This window comes from Homo sapiens, chromosome 8 (assembly GCF_000001405.40).
Source record: "Homo sapiens chromosome 8, GRCh38.p14 Primary Assembly".
Taxonomy (NCBI): domain Eukaryota; kingdom Metazoa; phylum Chordata; class Mammalia; order Primates; family Hominidae; genus Homo; species Homo sapiens.
Window position 1 is genome coordinate 92087124 of NC_000008.11, and position 17064 is coordinate 92104187.

Consider the following 17064-nt stretch of genomic DNA (forward strand, 5'->3'; position numbering starts at 1 on the left):
TTCTGCTTTTATGGTGGTTAGGGGATGGAAGACCCTGTGCCCAATCTGGGTACCCTCCATCCCACCTCCCAACCCTGAGGCACTCCACAGGACACAGCTGAAAAATGTCTGGTGAATTCAGAAGTTGAAGCTTAAATCAAAATGCTTGATATTCAAGACATTTATGATCTTTCTGCTCTCATTTCCCACTCAACACCCAAGGGCCCTTTTTGCTGCAGCCACAGTATTAATTTATTCTCTCTCCACCCCTACTCCACCCCAATACTCCTCCAAAGTCTTTTCCACATCTAGGCTTCTGCATTCCCTATTCCTATTGTATAACCTACCACAATCCTATTACAATAACTTTGCCTTGATGAATCCTACCTGTCTCAAGACAAGCTTAAATTCCAATTCACACCTGCCTCTAAAATCTCACTTGCTGCACCATTTAATTGGTAACTGATCAAGCTCCACGATCTATGTAGCTATTTAATTTGTCCTGAGTTTATCATTCAGTGGGAACTGAGCCGACTACCTGCTTGTGTCTACATCTAGCACACAGCTTTACACATAGAAAACATTTACTAAATATTTATCCATGTACTTCAGATTCACTCCCAAGAGTAAACATTTTACTTTTCTATCAGATGCTGTAAAAGGTGTCTTTACCATGGCTACCAAAACAGCATGTGACTTTCTTTATAAGTAGTCAAATCAGGTTTAATGGGTTGTTCACATTTTATTGCTCTTCACCTATATTTTCCTCCAATATTTTATACCTGCTCTCTCGAGCCAACTCAAATCTTAGGCACATCAATGGAGACTGATCACATTAACTCTTCCTTTAGACATGAACTGACCTACCTACCTTTATTTAAACAAAAGGATGAGAATTCATTGTCCACATTTGTTTCTCATCAGAGGTCAAATGCGGAACTCATTTCTAAATAAATCTAGCTGAACCGGAGAATGAAAATGTGTGACAGGTGGGCAAAGGAGCTGTGGAGTAAAGCACACTCCTTGTGTGACACATGATAAAAGTTACAAAAGTTACAGAATCCCAGCAGTCACTTAAAAAGAACACTTTCACAGGAAAGGAGGATTACTATGTCAGTCTGATAAACACCCAGTTCCAATCCCAATATCATCTGCTGTTCTTCCCAGCTGTATTTGCTCATCACTGTGTACATAACATATGCATAGACTCAGAAAATAAGCTATTAGTCTTCCCTGACCTGTCTTACAGTTCACATGCCCCTGTATCTTGAGGTTAGGGAAAGGGGTATAGTACTTCTAGTTTAAGCTAGTCTAATCAACTTCCCAAGACTGCATTTAAAGCGCAGCTTGTACCATGCTTATAACCAGTGGGGATAACTTCCTAATTTCTGATACTCCACTTGTCAATGTGCATTTGAAGTATTTTCCACAATACAGCTGTGCTATTTCCCTGGCACCATGATCTGTGCCAACCCTTTTAGGTACCATTATAGATCTGCTTTCCTAATATTAGGCTCTGGTCTCCTCACTAAGAGTTACTAGGTGGATTCTCCAAAAAGTCTAGTGGAAGAGTCCTCCCAGATACTCTTTATAATAACATCTCACAGCTAGTTCTCTCTCCTAGTGCTCTAATTATCTCATTACGTGGCCATGTCTAGCTCATTACTGCTCTGACACTGTTTCCCTTCATATTATCGGTGGCCACCCATCTCTTGAGCTTCTTTAGACAAATTACCATTACTGCTGCTAATATTTTATCTAATATTTCTCTGACATAATATTCAACCCAGTTAGTACCAACTACGAGTTCACTGTATATATACGCTTAAGACATTCTCCTTTGTGGCAAAGAACTTCAATTTGACTTCCCATTGAACTCTGAATACCAATGCAAAAATTTTCTACAGCCTATGAAGCAACAGTGCTTCCTCTGACATCCATTTCTAATGTCAGATGAAAATATCATTACTTCCAAGCCAAACCAATCCCTGACATCCTAGTAAACAGTAAGCTTCCACTGTCATTTTGGATGATGAGGAAGTGCTCACCTTGATCAAACCAGAAGAATGCCAATAACTCTTAAGTTCAAAAGAAACCCTAGCCTGGGTTTACTATTTATAACCACCCAAATTAGAATCAAATCTCTAATAATGTCTATATTTTAATCACCTACATCAGTTTTACAAACTAAAGTACAAAATCAATAGGTAATAATTGAATTATTTAATTATTTTAGAAGCAATAGCAAACTATTTCTTCAGACAAAAAGAGAATTGTTTAGTCTTTCCTGAGATCTGATTCCTAGCCAGATGATAATGTGCCCATGTTCAATTAAACAAGCTACCAGGTTCTCTCCAAAAAATGGCTTAAAGAGGTCATTTTCTAAATTTCCCAAGTGAAGCGAGTCCAAACTTTGAGACCGGGGGTATGGTGAATGCCTGGCTAAACACAAGCAACCCCATCCACCTCAGCCCCTAGCCCCTCACTCCCACCCCTAGGCGCTGAGTTCATCATCTTGTCCAGTAACTATGAGGCGAAAGCATAAAGGCAATTTTCCTTGGACAAGACCCAGACTCTTTAGTTCCCTCCTCACTACATAAACAGATTTATTCCTACATCATTCACCTCTGAAAAAGGAATCGTAAAAACAAAAATTTCAGATAATCATCTAAGATTTAGGATAGCTATGGAAAGAATGGCTCCCTAGTCCATAATGGCTCTTCTTTATGATGGAGAAGACTGGAATGATAGTAATATTCCACACTGATCCCTTTCCCAGTTAGATGAAGATTTATAGTGTCACCCACCCCAATCCCTGAATTTAAAAAAAAAAAAAAAAAAAAAAAAGCATTTTTTTTTCACTCTCCTAACCCTGGGAAAGCCCCAAAGCCTACTTTCAGTATCACACAGAGACTTGTCCGTATGAGAGTTGGGAAGCCTAAGAATCACCAAGTCTGCCCTTCGCCTTCTGAGAAATTTGCCTGAGGGCTGGAATGCACCCCAGGCCACCCAGCAAGTCAGTGATTGAACTGGAAAGGGAACTTCAGTTTGCCTATTAGTCAAGCGACTGCACACAGACACCAGGTCCTTTTTTTTTTTTTTCTAATACGGAGAAAGCTTTACACTATGAAACTAGTTACAAACTCTTTTTTTCCAGCAGTAAAGGTGGTGTACAAGTCCTCTAACCTTATCTTAAGAGGTAACCAGGAAGTTGAACCTGGCCAACTGGGAAATGCTGAGATCAAGATATAATGGAGTGACCAACTACGAAAGGAACAAGACTCAAGAACTAAGGACTGGGCAGAAAATCACTCCAGCATACTGGATAAGTTCAACAACAACAACAACAAAAACAGATTAAATCCTCATGGCCTCAGTGCAGTGTAGAATGAAGGTATTCTGATGCAGGAACAGAATTTGGTAATAGAGAAGCCTGGATCAGGTGGTACTGAGGAATATAGACTAGCACACACTTGTGAGTATCCAAGGATATGTCAGCTAGAAGCCAACTCTGATTCCTAAGTGGGGGTGAAGAGGGGATAACTGAAAGAAAACAATGGATGAGTAGAAATGGCCACTGAAGAGAATATGCAGCCAATTTTTCAGAGAATAAGGTCCTAAATAATTACTAAAGCTCAGGCACAAAGTAAGTCATTAATTTGGGGAATACGAAGAAACCTCAATTTTCTAAATTGGGGCAAAAGATCAAGCCAGAAGAGTAACTATGGCAAGAGTCTCAGAGCAATGGGCTGGAGTTCTTTGAAATGAAGAAAGTGAAACACTGGTTAATCAATTACTTAAAATCAGTGATGAGAATGTATGTGAAGGTTGGTGAAGGACAGGCTCATAGTAGGTCTCTAGTATTTATCAATTCCTCTCCTCTCTCCCAAGACCAACAACTAAGTAGCAGCCCTCAAGAGCCCTGAGCACACTTAGAAGTGGTCTGTGCCCCAGGTGTTAAAAGATTAATGAACCCAGTCAATCACATTCCCCAAGGCACTTAGAGGTGCTTAGATTGCTGGAGACACAACGGGAAAACTTCACATTTGTGCCCTCTGCATTCCTCTTCTACAAGATCTATATTCTAAAGGCCCTATTCATCCAAATAGTGATTTGCTTTAGAGGCCTTGATCGATATGAAACCGACCAAAACAAATGCCTGCTTTATTCCTTCATGAATTACTTTATAAAGGTAATCACAATTAGAACTATTAAAGGAGATGATTTTAAGTTGGTATCTCTTGGTCCTTGAAAATATTAGTAGTTGTAGGCAACATTGACAGTTTTAAGCTCTTTCAAACAAGCAGGTCTTACACTTTAAACATCAACCATGGGACATTACTTTACCAGTAGTTCTGATGTAAGAGCCTGGACATGATTTCATCAAGTATCAACATTTCAAAAAGAGGCACAGGAATCTCCCCTGTTGGTGTCATGTAAGGTACCGTGGCTTCAAAAACAACTCTCATTAGAAGATCACATCCCAAGTGAAGGGATTATGTCTGTGAATAAACTTTTTGTACACTGATATGTGATTCAGCATCTTTTCTTAAAAGTGTCAGAAACTGGTGCTATATTGGAGGAAATAGCCGCATGATGCCCAGCTCTCTTTAAGATATGCCAGCATGACATGCCATACTGAACTGTTCTTTGGGCTTGAAACTGGAAACTGCATTCCTTAAAAGCATACTTCTTTGGTTGGTTCCATACATGTAATCGCAAATACTCACATTCAACATTGTTCTTCAAACTACCTCTTCTTTTGAGTTGGTGTTTTAGAAGAAACACTGCATTTGTTAATATCAAACATGCTAAGGTGTCACTGTGCCTGCCTTCCCCTTTATACATTCCTGAAATATTTTGAGTTTATCTGTGAAGAGTGTGTCTAGCAATTCACATGTGAAGCCACAAACTCAGCTAATTGATCCTCAGCAGTGATCAGGTCTCACCCCAGACAAATTACTATAGCCACAAGCCCACCAAACTGCAATCCAAGGTTGAGTCAGTATTGAACCTCATCCAAATTTCACCAGTCTTCCTTCCTTCTAGTTTAATTCTCTCTGCCCATGTTTTATATGGATAGCGTTGCCATTCACTTTCTTGTTATAAGGACGCAGTATTATTTTTATTATGATTATTTAAGACATCTTAAGAGTTTCCTTTTTAATTAAAATTAGATAATTTTAAAAGAACATGTCTTTCCTAGCAATGTCACTAGTAAAATGCATCCAATTTTTCTCTATGTGGTGCTTTCCCTGTCCATAAAACTTATTTGATTAGCAGTACTATAGAAGCTAAAGCTTTTGTATGCAGGCACTCAAGCATAATTTAATCATTTTATTTAAGCATGGAAAAGATTATTCTGAAAGCCCTGTTAGTAAAATATCCCTGATTAGTTTAAACTTACATTTGCAGGTATATTAAAGGTAAAATAAATCTCGGAATGCTCAGTATGCAAGAACAGTGTTAACTTTGTTACAACAGTCCGGCAGTAAGTTAAAAATTGTAGTATTAGAGAATGTAAGGAATAACTATCTGATTTTCAATACATGTATTTAAACAGGTTATTTTAAAATAAATTTTGTTTTGTGTGAACCCCTTTTTATTACCAGGATTTTCACCTATGGAAACCTCTTTTATAGTCAAACAAGATGAGGTCTTAATTGCATACTACCATTTATCTGCTGAGGATAAAAGTGCCAACAAATGAAAATGCACATTAGGCAAGAGATTGTCAGAATAGAAAATTTTTTTTTTATTTTTTTGTTTTTTTGTTTTTAAATAACCCACTCACATTAACAAAAGACTGCAGTAGCTTCCAAATTATAGGTTGTTATTTTTAGTGGAAGTAGTTCAATATTCATATTGGAGCAGATGTAGCAGTTTAACAAAACAGCTCTTCAAATCCCGCACAAATTGAAAACAGGAAAACTGATTGCATTTTCTCTTATCACTTTCCTTTTCTGAATTGACACTTTTGGCCTTCTGAAAATTTACACATGGCTTTCATCTCAACAGCACCTGCTGATCAAACAGAAACCTAACATTTTCATGAAAATTGTATAAAGGACTAGTTTTGTTCTAAACACTGTAAAGGGCATCAGTTGCCTACTTGATGGCAACAATTGTCATGTATAAGTCATAGTCAAAATAGATTTATATTTTCATAAATTTCTTTAACATAAAAATATGTTAAGTCCCTTCTGGTTTTTTTTTTCATATTCACTCTCTGTATGGTTCAAATTTCTTTGACTCAATGTCTGCCTAATGCTTAGTTTTGTTATTTAAAGACTATGCAAAATGTGTGAAAGGGTAAATTACACCAAGATAACAAATACTTAGTATTTCTCTGCCTTTGCTTGAAATACACATATTAATCTATATAAGTTATTGTCTATGCATGCACTTGAGTGTAAAATACATACATCTCACTTTGTATTGAACCCATTATCGCTTCTCGGCCTTTTGGCTAAGATCAAGTGTATTCCACCCACTAAAAGAAAACTGGAAACAAAAAGTCAGAGTCAGGCCCTATTTTTGAAGGGAACTTACACATTATTTTATGAGATATAGATTTAGCAGGTGCCTGGCTGTTTCAGTACCCGACTGGAAAAGAATGAATGTCACTCATGCAACAAACTGGTCACCTAAATAGTGACTGACCACTCACTGTAAATAACTCCAGGTAAAGGTAAATCTTGAAAATGGATATCCTTCTATATAAAATATGCAAGATCTATGGCTAGCATGCTTTTCATATTTTTAAACGTGCTCCACCTATTTCTCTGTAACATCCAATTCGGGGTAGAATTAAAGATGTTCCTAAGACATGCTATCTGCTAGTTTCTTAGCCAAAAGAGCTCTACCCTTTCTGAAAGATTCCAGGCTGTCCTTTTCCATTCTGTCTGGGTGATAAGGTAACCTGAAGGCAGAAATGACATACAGTAATATATGTGCCACTCTGGCCAGTTGGTCTGTGAATTTCAGTGTTTCATCATGCTCACTGAGGCAACAGCAAACCTGAAATGTCAATATGTTCAGTCAATGGAAGTAAAATAATGGGACTCTATTGTCTTACCCAATCGATCTGCTGCTGTCAACAAGGAAACATGCCCCCCTGGCTTTAAACAAATTTTAATTAGGCTTTTAGTTACTGGATCATATCTATCTATCTATGAAAACACCTATTTTGACAATGTGTAGAAGGCAAAACAACCATCTTTTCCACTTTTCTTCATTTTAAGAACCTTCTAAAGTTGATATTACAATGTTTCAAATACTTGTGAGTCAATAAGACATGTTTTCTCCTTTTTTTAAACTAGCTCCAACCAAAAGATTTCATGGTTCAAATCCAAAATACAAATCTACCTAACAGACTTGTAGTGATTTTTTTTTCTCCTCTAGGCTGAGTTGAGCCATACTATAAAGTCAACTAATTCCATATTAAAAGTAGGCTTCATTTGCTTTTCTTACTCATTCAAGTACCGTCAGCATCAATTTATCACGCATTTAAAACAAGTCACACAAAACCAAACATTAATGATCAATCCCAAAGCCTTTACCCTCTTTTCTCAGTTCATCAATCCTAAATGCAAGGGGTAAACGAAACTCCTGTTAAATCAGGGAGGTGCATGGTGCTGAGAAGGGTAGGGGGTTGTCGGGAGAGGAAATAAGACATTTTAAGTCATTCAAATTGCACCAAAGTTCTCTAGCCCTTCCTTCCACCAAAAGAGAGACAGTCTCACCTTAAAATAAAAATGAACTAATCAAGTTGTTAAGCAGCTTTGTCTCTCCCTTCTTCATCTAAAGGCTTCAGCGTCCAGTCAATAAATAATCTATTGTTCCCCCTTTATCGAGTCTCTTTAAACCTATTCAGACTGGCAAAACTAAACCCAATTAAAGATAAGGCCCTCCGGTATTCTCACCTCGGTGAGTCCTGTCTGGATAGCAGAGGTGATGGGAGATAGCGTCAAGGCCAGGGGTAGATGCCTCCTCCTCACCCCACACAACAAAAGGCAGATTTCTCTTTCTCACTCTGCTAATCTTTAAATGTAAATTCTCTCCGCCAGCTAAGAGGAGCGACAGATAACATGTTACATCTTCACTTCTCCTGGTCTTATCGACTTCTGAATCATTTGGAAAGGGAGAGAGGGAGAGAGAAAAGCCGCCTCCCCACGCCCCCCTTCCTCCTGGCCACCCCTCCTTCCTCCCTGCTCGCCTCCCTCCCCTGTTCACGGAGATTACCTTCTGGCAAAGGAGCGCGGGAGAGCGGCCGCGGCCGAGGCGGCACCCAGACCGCGGCTTTGTATTCATTAAACACACATTGGAGCTTATCAGAAGTAAAAGCCTTGTCAGGATGGCACATTGTGTGTGAGTGAGTGTGTGAGCGCAGGAGGGAGAGGAGAGAAGCCAACGTGCATCAGGGTGATTACAATATCAGCAGGGCCCAGATGGAGGCAGGAAAATAAACAGAGGGTGCGTGTGAGACGGAGCGGGAGAGGGAGGAAAAGTGGGAGAGAGAGAGAGAAGACAGAAAGGGACAGGCAGGAGGGAAGGAGAGACACAGGCAGGAGGGAAGGAGGGATGGAGGAGGGGGCGGGGGCTCAGACCCCAGGATGGGGCCAGAAAGTGGGGGAGAGCTACCCTAAGGCTATCTGGGAATGAGAGGCAGGCTAGAAGTCGCCTGCATGCCCAAATCTGCCCCTACCACCCAAAGAAGGGAGGAATCCAGCAAACTGTATTTCCCTGCTCCAGGGCTAGGCTGGAACATGTTCGAGATTCTGTCAAGGTCAGAGGAGGATCAAGAGCTCTCTTTTGGCAGAGCCTAAGGAGACAGTCGCCATCTCACCTCCATCCAAACAGCCACATTTTGCAAAACAAACCTACTGAGTCTATAGAGCAGTTAAGCTGCCTTCCAGACCAACCTCAAGTCGGAGTTCTTGTCCCTTTCTTTGCTAACCCCAATACTCCTAAATTCCAGCCCCTGCACATTCACACACTCAGAGATATAAAATAGCTTCTGTCCCTGAACTTTAATGTGTCCCAGCTGAAGACTCCTGCAGCCAGCATCATTGTGATAAGGAGGAACACTTGTGATTGGTAGCCACAGGTGACTCTTAGAGACCTGCTCCACCTCCAGAAATTGTGTTGGGGGAGGAGGCTCCTTATGTGTGCATCTGAGAGTCTATTTTGGAGGTGGGAATCTGAAATTGAGGCAATCAATCTCGGCTTGAGCTGCCTCATGGCTCTTCACCCACCCAGAGCCAGAGAATCAATCAGAGAACAAGCAAGGGCTAATGCTTGTCCGTCAGTCCAGAGTTCATCCCCCTCCCCAGCAGGGTCAGGAAGGAGACACACCTGAGTAGTCCCTTGGGAGTCCCTTTTCACTTTTAAATACACCCATCAGACAATGTGAACATCTGATCAGCTCCTTAATGGAGTGCAGATAATGCAGCAAAGGAGGTTATTTTATTGGGGGAGGGGAAGTATTTGGTTGTGCTGTGTTTCAAGGCACTGAAGCTTGGTTAAGAAGCTCTCACTACAGCATCAAGAGTGAGTTCAGAATGAAGGAGCCAATAAATTACACAATTGTTCATGGTGTGCACTGTAGCCCTAGCTGCTGTGAAACTTCAGGTTATAAAATAGTTTTATGCAGGGGGTCTCCCTAGAAAGGAATAAAATGGGGATGAAGGGTAAGGCTAGTGAGTAGAAAAAAAAACAATAGCAAGAGAACTAGCCCCTGCCTTTTAAGGGAACCATATTTTAAGAGGCCCTTTAGAAAATGAGGAGAAGCATTGTTTAATCAGGCACTCCCCTCCAAATCACTTGGCCAAAAATCGGTTTTATGTATAGTTGAGCACCGCCCCCTCTCCCCCACCCCACCCAAACACACACACACCAATGTTCCAACCCCAAGAATAGAATTAAAAGAAATTTGATAGGTAACACAAAGTGAAAAAAGCTGGGCATAGGTGGGGGAAGGGCATGTGTGAAAATCTTGTCATGCAATGAATGTCAGATAAAAAGGGGTCTGCCACAATCCTCCAGTAATCCAATAACGTGGAAAACCTCATGGTATCACTGAGACGAGAACAAGGTAATATTTCTCCATAAATCTTCAAAAAGTGACCAGGTTCAATAGTTAGAGAAGGGTGCAAGGATAGGAAGTAAAACACTTGGCTGGCTACATTACAAAATCCAGTGAGCTTTAAATGGGTGAAAATCTGTCATTCTTACATGTTTTAAATTTAATAACAGATTTCTAGCGTATCACTTTAGCTCTCATAAAAGGTCACCTTTCACCTTTTCTCTAGCTATTCTAGAAAAATGCATTCAGAGTAACCGAAAGCAACCACACATACCCCCACCCTTTATTGCATTTTAGTTAGATCAGCTTGGACACAGACTACATACAAACACCTAAAAATCCAAGAAAACTCCAGAGGAAGAAAAATACAATTTACAAGTGCCCCCCTGATTTTTCCATTACATGCTCTTTTAAGAAATGCTATTTTTTTAAAAAAAATTGCATTACTATTGCTTTCAAACCCAGAAAAGGTTTGCTTTTTTTAAAAGGGGCATCCCAAATACTAGAGGCATAAAGAAATCTGTTCAAAAGCTAATCTGCCAGTGGTCTTATTTTGTAAATGCACAGTATTTCTATTAGTACCTTGTTTGTTCATTGACTTTTGGCTCACAGTTATAGAAAAGATCAACCAATTCTCAAATGGGAAGAATCCATGACTCTCTTCCAAAGCAAACACTTTGCTGCAAAGCTTTCAATTAAAAGAAAAAAACAGCAATACAATAATCAAGAAGTATAATCACAGAAGTGTAAAACAGAAAGTGGTTTCTATAATCACAGCTGTCTTAAAGTCCAGGCTAGAGACTAGAAATCTTAATTTCAACTAGTTCTTTTCTTAATAATAGGTTACCTTCCTATAAAAGGAAGAAGTCCATCTGCCCCAGGCAGATAAGTTTTGAAGCATTAATTCAGATAAAAATCTAGCATTTTCTTTCTTTCTTTGAGTATGTGAATTCTAGTGTGCTATAATGTGAGAATTCCAACATATGACCATTATGGCATAATATCTCATTGCTCAGCTTGTCATTATTTCATTTGTAATTCTTATGTTAATTATGTTCATAATTACTATAAACAGATGTGGTAGACATTCATGTGACCTTTTATTGCAGAATGCATTCTTCACTCATTTTGCTTTAATTTCTCATGGATACAAAGCTGAAATGCAGGAAAAAGAAAAAGCCTTTCCAATTTTCCAATGTTTTATATGCATAAGCTAAAACAGAACCTACCTTCTACTTCATCTGCATTTCAGAATATCATAATATTCTTAATGTTTAAGCTGCTTTATACAGCACATTTCTAAATTGCACACTGAACCTCACTGCTGCTCACTAAATTGTAGCTATGGATGCCAAACAAAGGCTAACATCCATGTCTAAGTTGTTTGTCTTTTTTTTAATATCAAAGGTTAATGCAGCAGAATTGTGCTTCAAAACCAAGTGCCTAGCAGCTACATAGCGATTTATTCACTCAGAACTCAACCATCACCCTCTTTACATAAAACGCATTTACAATAAAATCAGTATGGATTTCATTAGCTGAAAACCTCCTCGAATTTCATTTCTTTGGCCCTAATCTATAATTAGTTTGGACAGACAGGTGCAAACCCTTCTCTTCTACAGATGGCTACTGGAAATGGTGCAAAGTAGCTCCTTCTGTTTAAACAACACAGAGATAACCTGCTCTGTCTTATCACTTACAATTACCTCCATTAAACTGAACTAATGTTTGCTTTAATAAAATGTTCACTGTTCTTTAAACATTATTTAGGAACTCTTATATTAATGGCTGTGGAAAAAAAGTGAAGTTGGAAGGTGTCTCTAGATAATAATAAATAGCTTATTCTGGATAAAATGTTCCCACTGACAGATAATACTTAGGTTCACAGAGGTGTTTTAGTTGATTGAATATTTGTTATTTTGCATAAATAGAGTCAAATTTGATTTTTAAAAGGCAAACATAATTTAACAAGTTGGGGGAGACAACATTTTTCTTGAATTTAGAAAAAGAATAAATTTTTTTCTTATAGATTTTAAGTTGTTATTAACATGTAGAAATTAAAATCCTTATTTTCAAAGGATATGTTAACTTAGTTTTATGCATTTAACTTCTGATAGATTATTCTCAAAGTTGAATGAGTTCATTCTTTCAAGGCACATCTTAAAAATTAACTATGAATGTAAGTGCACTCTGCAAGCACATGGTTAAAAGCAACTCCATTCCATAATAAATAACTTCTATAAAGCCAGAGCTCACTTCTCCCTGCTTCTGCTATCAATAAAGTCTGTGGATCACTATATGATGAATAAGGTGTCCATAAAACAAAGAACCTTTAAATGCCCAAACAGCAACAAATAAATAGCCTTTCTCACTGAACTTACATAACTTACAGTAATAGACTCCGGCAAAATGCAACTGACTCCGTTTTTTTCACATGCAAATCCTGCAGGTGCCAATTTTTCAGACTGCTTTGCTATGAAGGGCTATGTTGCCTGCATAAAACCTCAGTGAAGAAGGCTTTGCATTCAGTGCCTGTCAGCTGATGTTCATATCAAAGAAGTGAGAAACAGGATTTGACAGTGAAGAATGTCCTAAACTGACAACCACTGACCAGCATTCCTATTGGAAGCATTTCTTTCTTGTGATCCTTTTTCAGTGTTTAAAGAAATGCAAGATTTTTTGGCTACGGTTCGATTTGACAATAAAATAAATTATAATGGCACCTTAAATGTGTGTAGTTCTTTGCAATTTATGAAGTGCTCTTTTATCTACAAATATTTAGACTAACACCTCAATGGGAGAGCACATCATCAAATACTAACATCAAGAGCAATATTTTACTCCTCTCAGGAAAAGAAAATTGTGCAAATATTAAAAAGCTGCAGTCCCATAGCTGCAAAAATACTGTCCTTGCAATTTAATAGTGCAATGTATTGTATTGCACATAGAATGATTTTTATTAGAAAGGACCTTTTAAAGATCATTTTAACACAAATTATTAGCAGGTATTAACGGACCACAGAGACTAAGTCCACAAAGGAAAATATCATTTCAAAGACTTCTAGTCTGCTTTGAGTTGTACAAACATAAAAGAAAAAATAGACTGTTTTCTCCACTGCTTTTATTAGGTATAAACTGGACACTGGAGAAACTGAGTATTGAAATTCTCCCATGCAATATTTAGCTTTTCAAATAAAGTCACTGCTATCTAGTTTATAATAAAATTATTAATGACTGAACAAAAATATTTAATAAAAAGTTAACCTCAGTATTAAAAAAGTCCGTTTTTATGCACCCAGTATAAGACTGATTGGTTGTTTTGTTGGAATTTCATCTTTTAAAATAATAAACCAACAAAATATAAAATGCTGAACACAGCACAAGAAATAATGGACTTCAACTTCTTCAGCATCCATCCTGGCTGCAAAAAAAGCCCGGATCAAACCAAGATTCCCTGATTACTATTGGGTGAGATTGTCAGACTTCTCTGAAACAAACAAAAAAATCAGTAAAGGAAAAAAACGAAAATGAAATCAAATAACCCTATCTTTATTATCTGAAAATCATAATATTACAAACTAGACTTTAAGGATAAAAGAGAGGGAAATCCACAGAATTATAAATTTGCTTCTGTGTATACACATCACAGCTGACATAAACACTCAGGTTGGGGCTATGTTAGTTTAAGAAACAATGGTGTTTGGTGACCTTTTCTAAAGAATTGTGTGACAGGAGAAACTGGGCACAACAGAATACTCACATGGTCAAGGCAAACGCTGCCATAAACTAAAAGGAGGCCCCCAACACTAACAAACCGTTTATCACAGAGAAGCTGGTCAATTTGTATTCTAGGGAGTGTGGACTCACTGGGCACAGACCCAGTTCCACTCCTGTTCTATGCAAAGGAGGGCAATGATAATAAAAGCTACTGAGTGCACTTAAAAATGGTACAGATGTTGAAAAGGAGACTAGGAGAGGGAAAAAAATCCCTGTAAAACACATTTCAGTTCACACAGAAGGTATAAGGAATGCTTTGGTCAGAAACCCGACCTTTATCAGGAGATAAATCAATCTGCAGCAGCTGCGGACAGCCATTTATATACAGGCTCTGGGCAGATTAATTAAGAAAAGCGAAGTTAAAGATTCAAGGGGCCTCAGAGTTACATTAAGCACATGAAGTTTGTCTGGAGTGGCCTCTCCAGCTCTCCTGGTCTTCACTCCCTAGCTCTGGCCTCGGGCACTATTCTGCAGGACCTCCTCCACGGGAATCCTAGCTATTCCTTAAAGCGACCTTCTGCAGATTCCCCCAGGAAGCAGCAGCCAGACTAGGGCACGGTGGAATTTGTGGTGCCCAGTCTTCAAGGGTTTCTCCGTTACGCTTTGCAAGGAATGAGACCATGGGCTGCACGGCCGCCCAGCCAAATCCTCCAAACTGAAAGGCCTTTTGGGGGAGAGGGGGAGGGAAGGCGGCTATTTTTAGTAACAGTTGTGGCTCACATCCTACTTCCCGGAATCATAGTACTCAAACTTTTCCAAGGGTTGACCGCCCTTACAAAAAATAAAAAATAGCACGTTTCAAAAAATGGATCTGAGCGCCTTGTGCTGACCTAGCCGTATTTGCTCAAAGCACCCCAGTCAGCGCCAGGTCCCCCCCGGGAAAGAGGTCTGGGTGCGCCAACCAACCCGGTCCTTTCAGGTTCGCAAAGAGGGCGGTGAGCGGCGGGCCCTGGAGCGCGTCTCCACTGGCCCGGGGGCTTCACCAGAGGGGTTTCTGGAAAACGAAAGGAATTATCCGGACGTGGCTCCAAGTCTGGACCCCTTCGGGCGGGAGCTACAGGGCACAAGGTTGTGCTCCCCACTCAGAAGAAGCGGGCACCGAGTCGGGGCCGCGACGGGAACACCCAGGAGGGCCGGGGCGGCTGAGTCCAGAGCGCGCAGAGGTCGGGCGGGGACGACTCTCCCCATCGGCCCCTGACTGCGAAGCCCGGGACCAGCCTCGGGCGGGAGCCGCCGTCCGCCCGCTCACCCAGGAGCTTCCCAGTCCAGCACCCCAAACGGCCAGGAGTAACAAGGAAAGTTCGCAGGCAGGCGCAGAGCGCCTGGGTACCTCTAAGCAAACCCCCACCCTAGTTGCAGCCGGGTCCCAAAGTTAAGATCCCGCCTCTTTACTCCTTAGGGCTAAGTTTTCCACCATCAAAACAAGTCTTTGCTTCCAGTTTACAGAAAAAGAAAAGAAAAAAAAAAAAAAGAAAGGAAAAGAAAAAAACCCACGATGCGGGCATAGGGCCACCTGCCAAATGCACTGTGGGCACCTCGATCGGTTGTTTTGTCGGGGGAGAAACCCACTCGTCATCTTCCTGCTCGCATACCGTGACTATGGAGAGGGAAGAAAAATTATTTTTAAAAGACACTGTGGGGAATATAATAGTAAAAACTGCATCCTCGGCTGACCCGCGAAGTTCAGTGTCATCGCAGACCGGAGTCACCCGCGATGTTCCTCTTTGCCCTGGTGCGTAGTCCTACCCTAATTGAGCGACAAGTACAGCCTGGAGCCTCGCGGTCGAATAATCCAAACGAAGATGACGGTCATCGGAACAGTAATTAATAACAGTCAGGGGCCCGACCCCGCCGCCCGCCCGCCGGCCAAGCCCTACCGCGGACACTTACACTGCACAGGGCCGGAGAGTCCCACCATCCGCCACAGGCTCCGAGCTGCAAATAAAACTTCCCGTCGTCTCGGCCGGCCCGCGGGGCGACGGGGCGAGGACGCGGCGCGGCTTCCCTCGCGAGGCCAGAGTGTCCGCGGCCACTCGCCCACGCGCGCTCGCCACGAGACCGCGGAGTCGCGCCGCGGAGCGACTACGGCCGCCCGGCGCTGCGCAGAGAGAGCTGCCGTGCAAAAAGCCCGGGGTCGGGGACGCCAGCCAAACGCAACCTCCACGCAGAGCCCAAGACTTGCGGAGCTCTGCTCCCCTCCTCCCGCCTCCCTCCCTCCCTCCGCTTTTCTGTTGTTGCTGCTGTGGCAGACAAATGTGATGTGGGGCGCAGGGAATTGCCACTGTCACAGGCGGCGTCTGCGTCTCCCTCGCCCGCCCTCGCTCACTCTCGAGGAAGGCGACGCATTTATCTGCAGGGCGGCCGGGCGTCCGCCGGGGAGCAGGAGCGCCGCGCGCTGTGCGCCGAGAGCGCCCGCATCAGGCCGGCTCCGGCGCACGCTCGCGCCAGGGGCGCCGCGGCCGGTCGGGAGGGAGGCGGCTGCGCGGCCGCTACCAGGTGCAGGGGGGAGGACCCGCGGCGGGGCGTGGGGGAGGTGGAGGTGGGAGACATCTGTGTTGTGCGGGGGTCACGGAGGTCAAGTATATGTTAACAATGGGCAGGCCCGGCACGCTAGGGCGCGCGGGCTGGCGGGCGGCCTCCCTCCCGGCCTCGCCCTCTCCCATGCAGGCTGGACGTGGGGTTGGCTCCCTAATGATGCCTTCCCGGGCCGCCAGCTCTCAGGCGGCCCGAGTGCCCTGCAGTAACCCAAGACGACCACTTTCCCCGGCCATCTGGAGCGCTCCCGGCTGCCCTGCCTGTGTCTCATCACTGGCTGAAGAGACAGCTCTGCTAGAAATCAAGCCACTCTCAGATCTCCTCTCTAATCCCCTTCTGTTAGCTGATTTCCAGACTGACTATTTGCTTTCGCATTAGATAATAGCCTTAGAGAAAACAATTATCATTTTCTTTTATTCTCTTTGTTTTTCTACTTCTCCCATAGTATACCATTAAGAGGGACGGCTTTCTATCTCAGGTTTTTGTTAGATGTGTCCCCCTCCCCCAGACATTAATATCAATACTTGGGGGCAGTGTGGGGGGTAGTCCCGGAGGAAAAGATAGGGTGAAAGAATTCCAGATATTTCCAGAGTAAATAAATAATCTCGGTGAAGAGGACTGACAATTTGTACAGAGCCAAAAAGGGCTTGAATAATAATGAAAATATTAATATGTAGGTCAAATAT

At 41.8% G+C, this 17064-nt stretch overlaps 1 protein-coding gene across 20 annotated transcripts in view; it reads right to left on the minus strand.

Annotated features, from left to right (window-relative positions):
- Positions 1–16262, minus strand: part of RUNX1T1 (RUNX1 partner transcriptional co-repressor 1) — a 148419-nt gene extending 132157 nt beyond the window's left edge. For 4 of the 20 annotated variants that reach the window (XM_047422373.1, NM_001198633.2, NM_175634.3 and 1 more), the window contains exon 1: positions 15734–16262. Coding sequence is in view for 6 of the 20 variants with exons in the window: in NM_001198633.2 (NP_001185562.1) it covers positions 15734–15761 (28 nt within the window). In the remaining 14 variants the exon portion in view is untranslated. Of the gene's footprint in view, positions 1–7904; positions 8108–8223; positions 8511–12456; positions 12566–15733 lie in introns of those variants that run through there. The other 16 variants (NM_175635.3, NM_001198632.2, NM_001198629.2 and 13 more) reach the window with 7 other exon arrangements.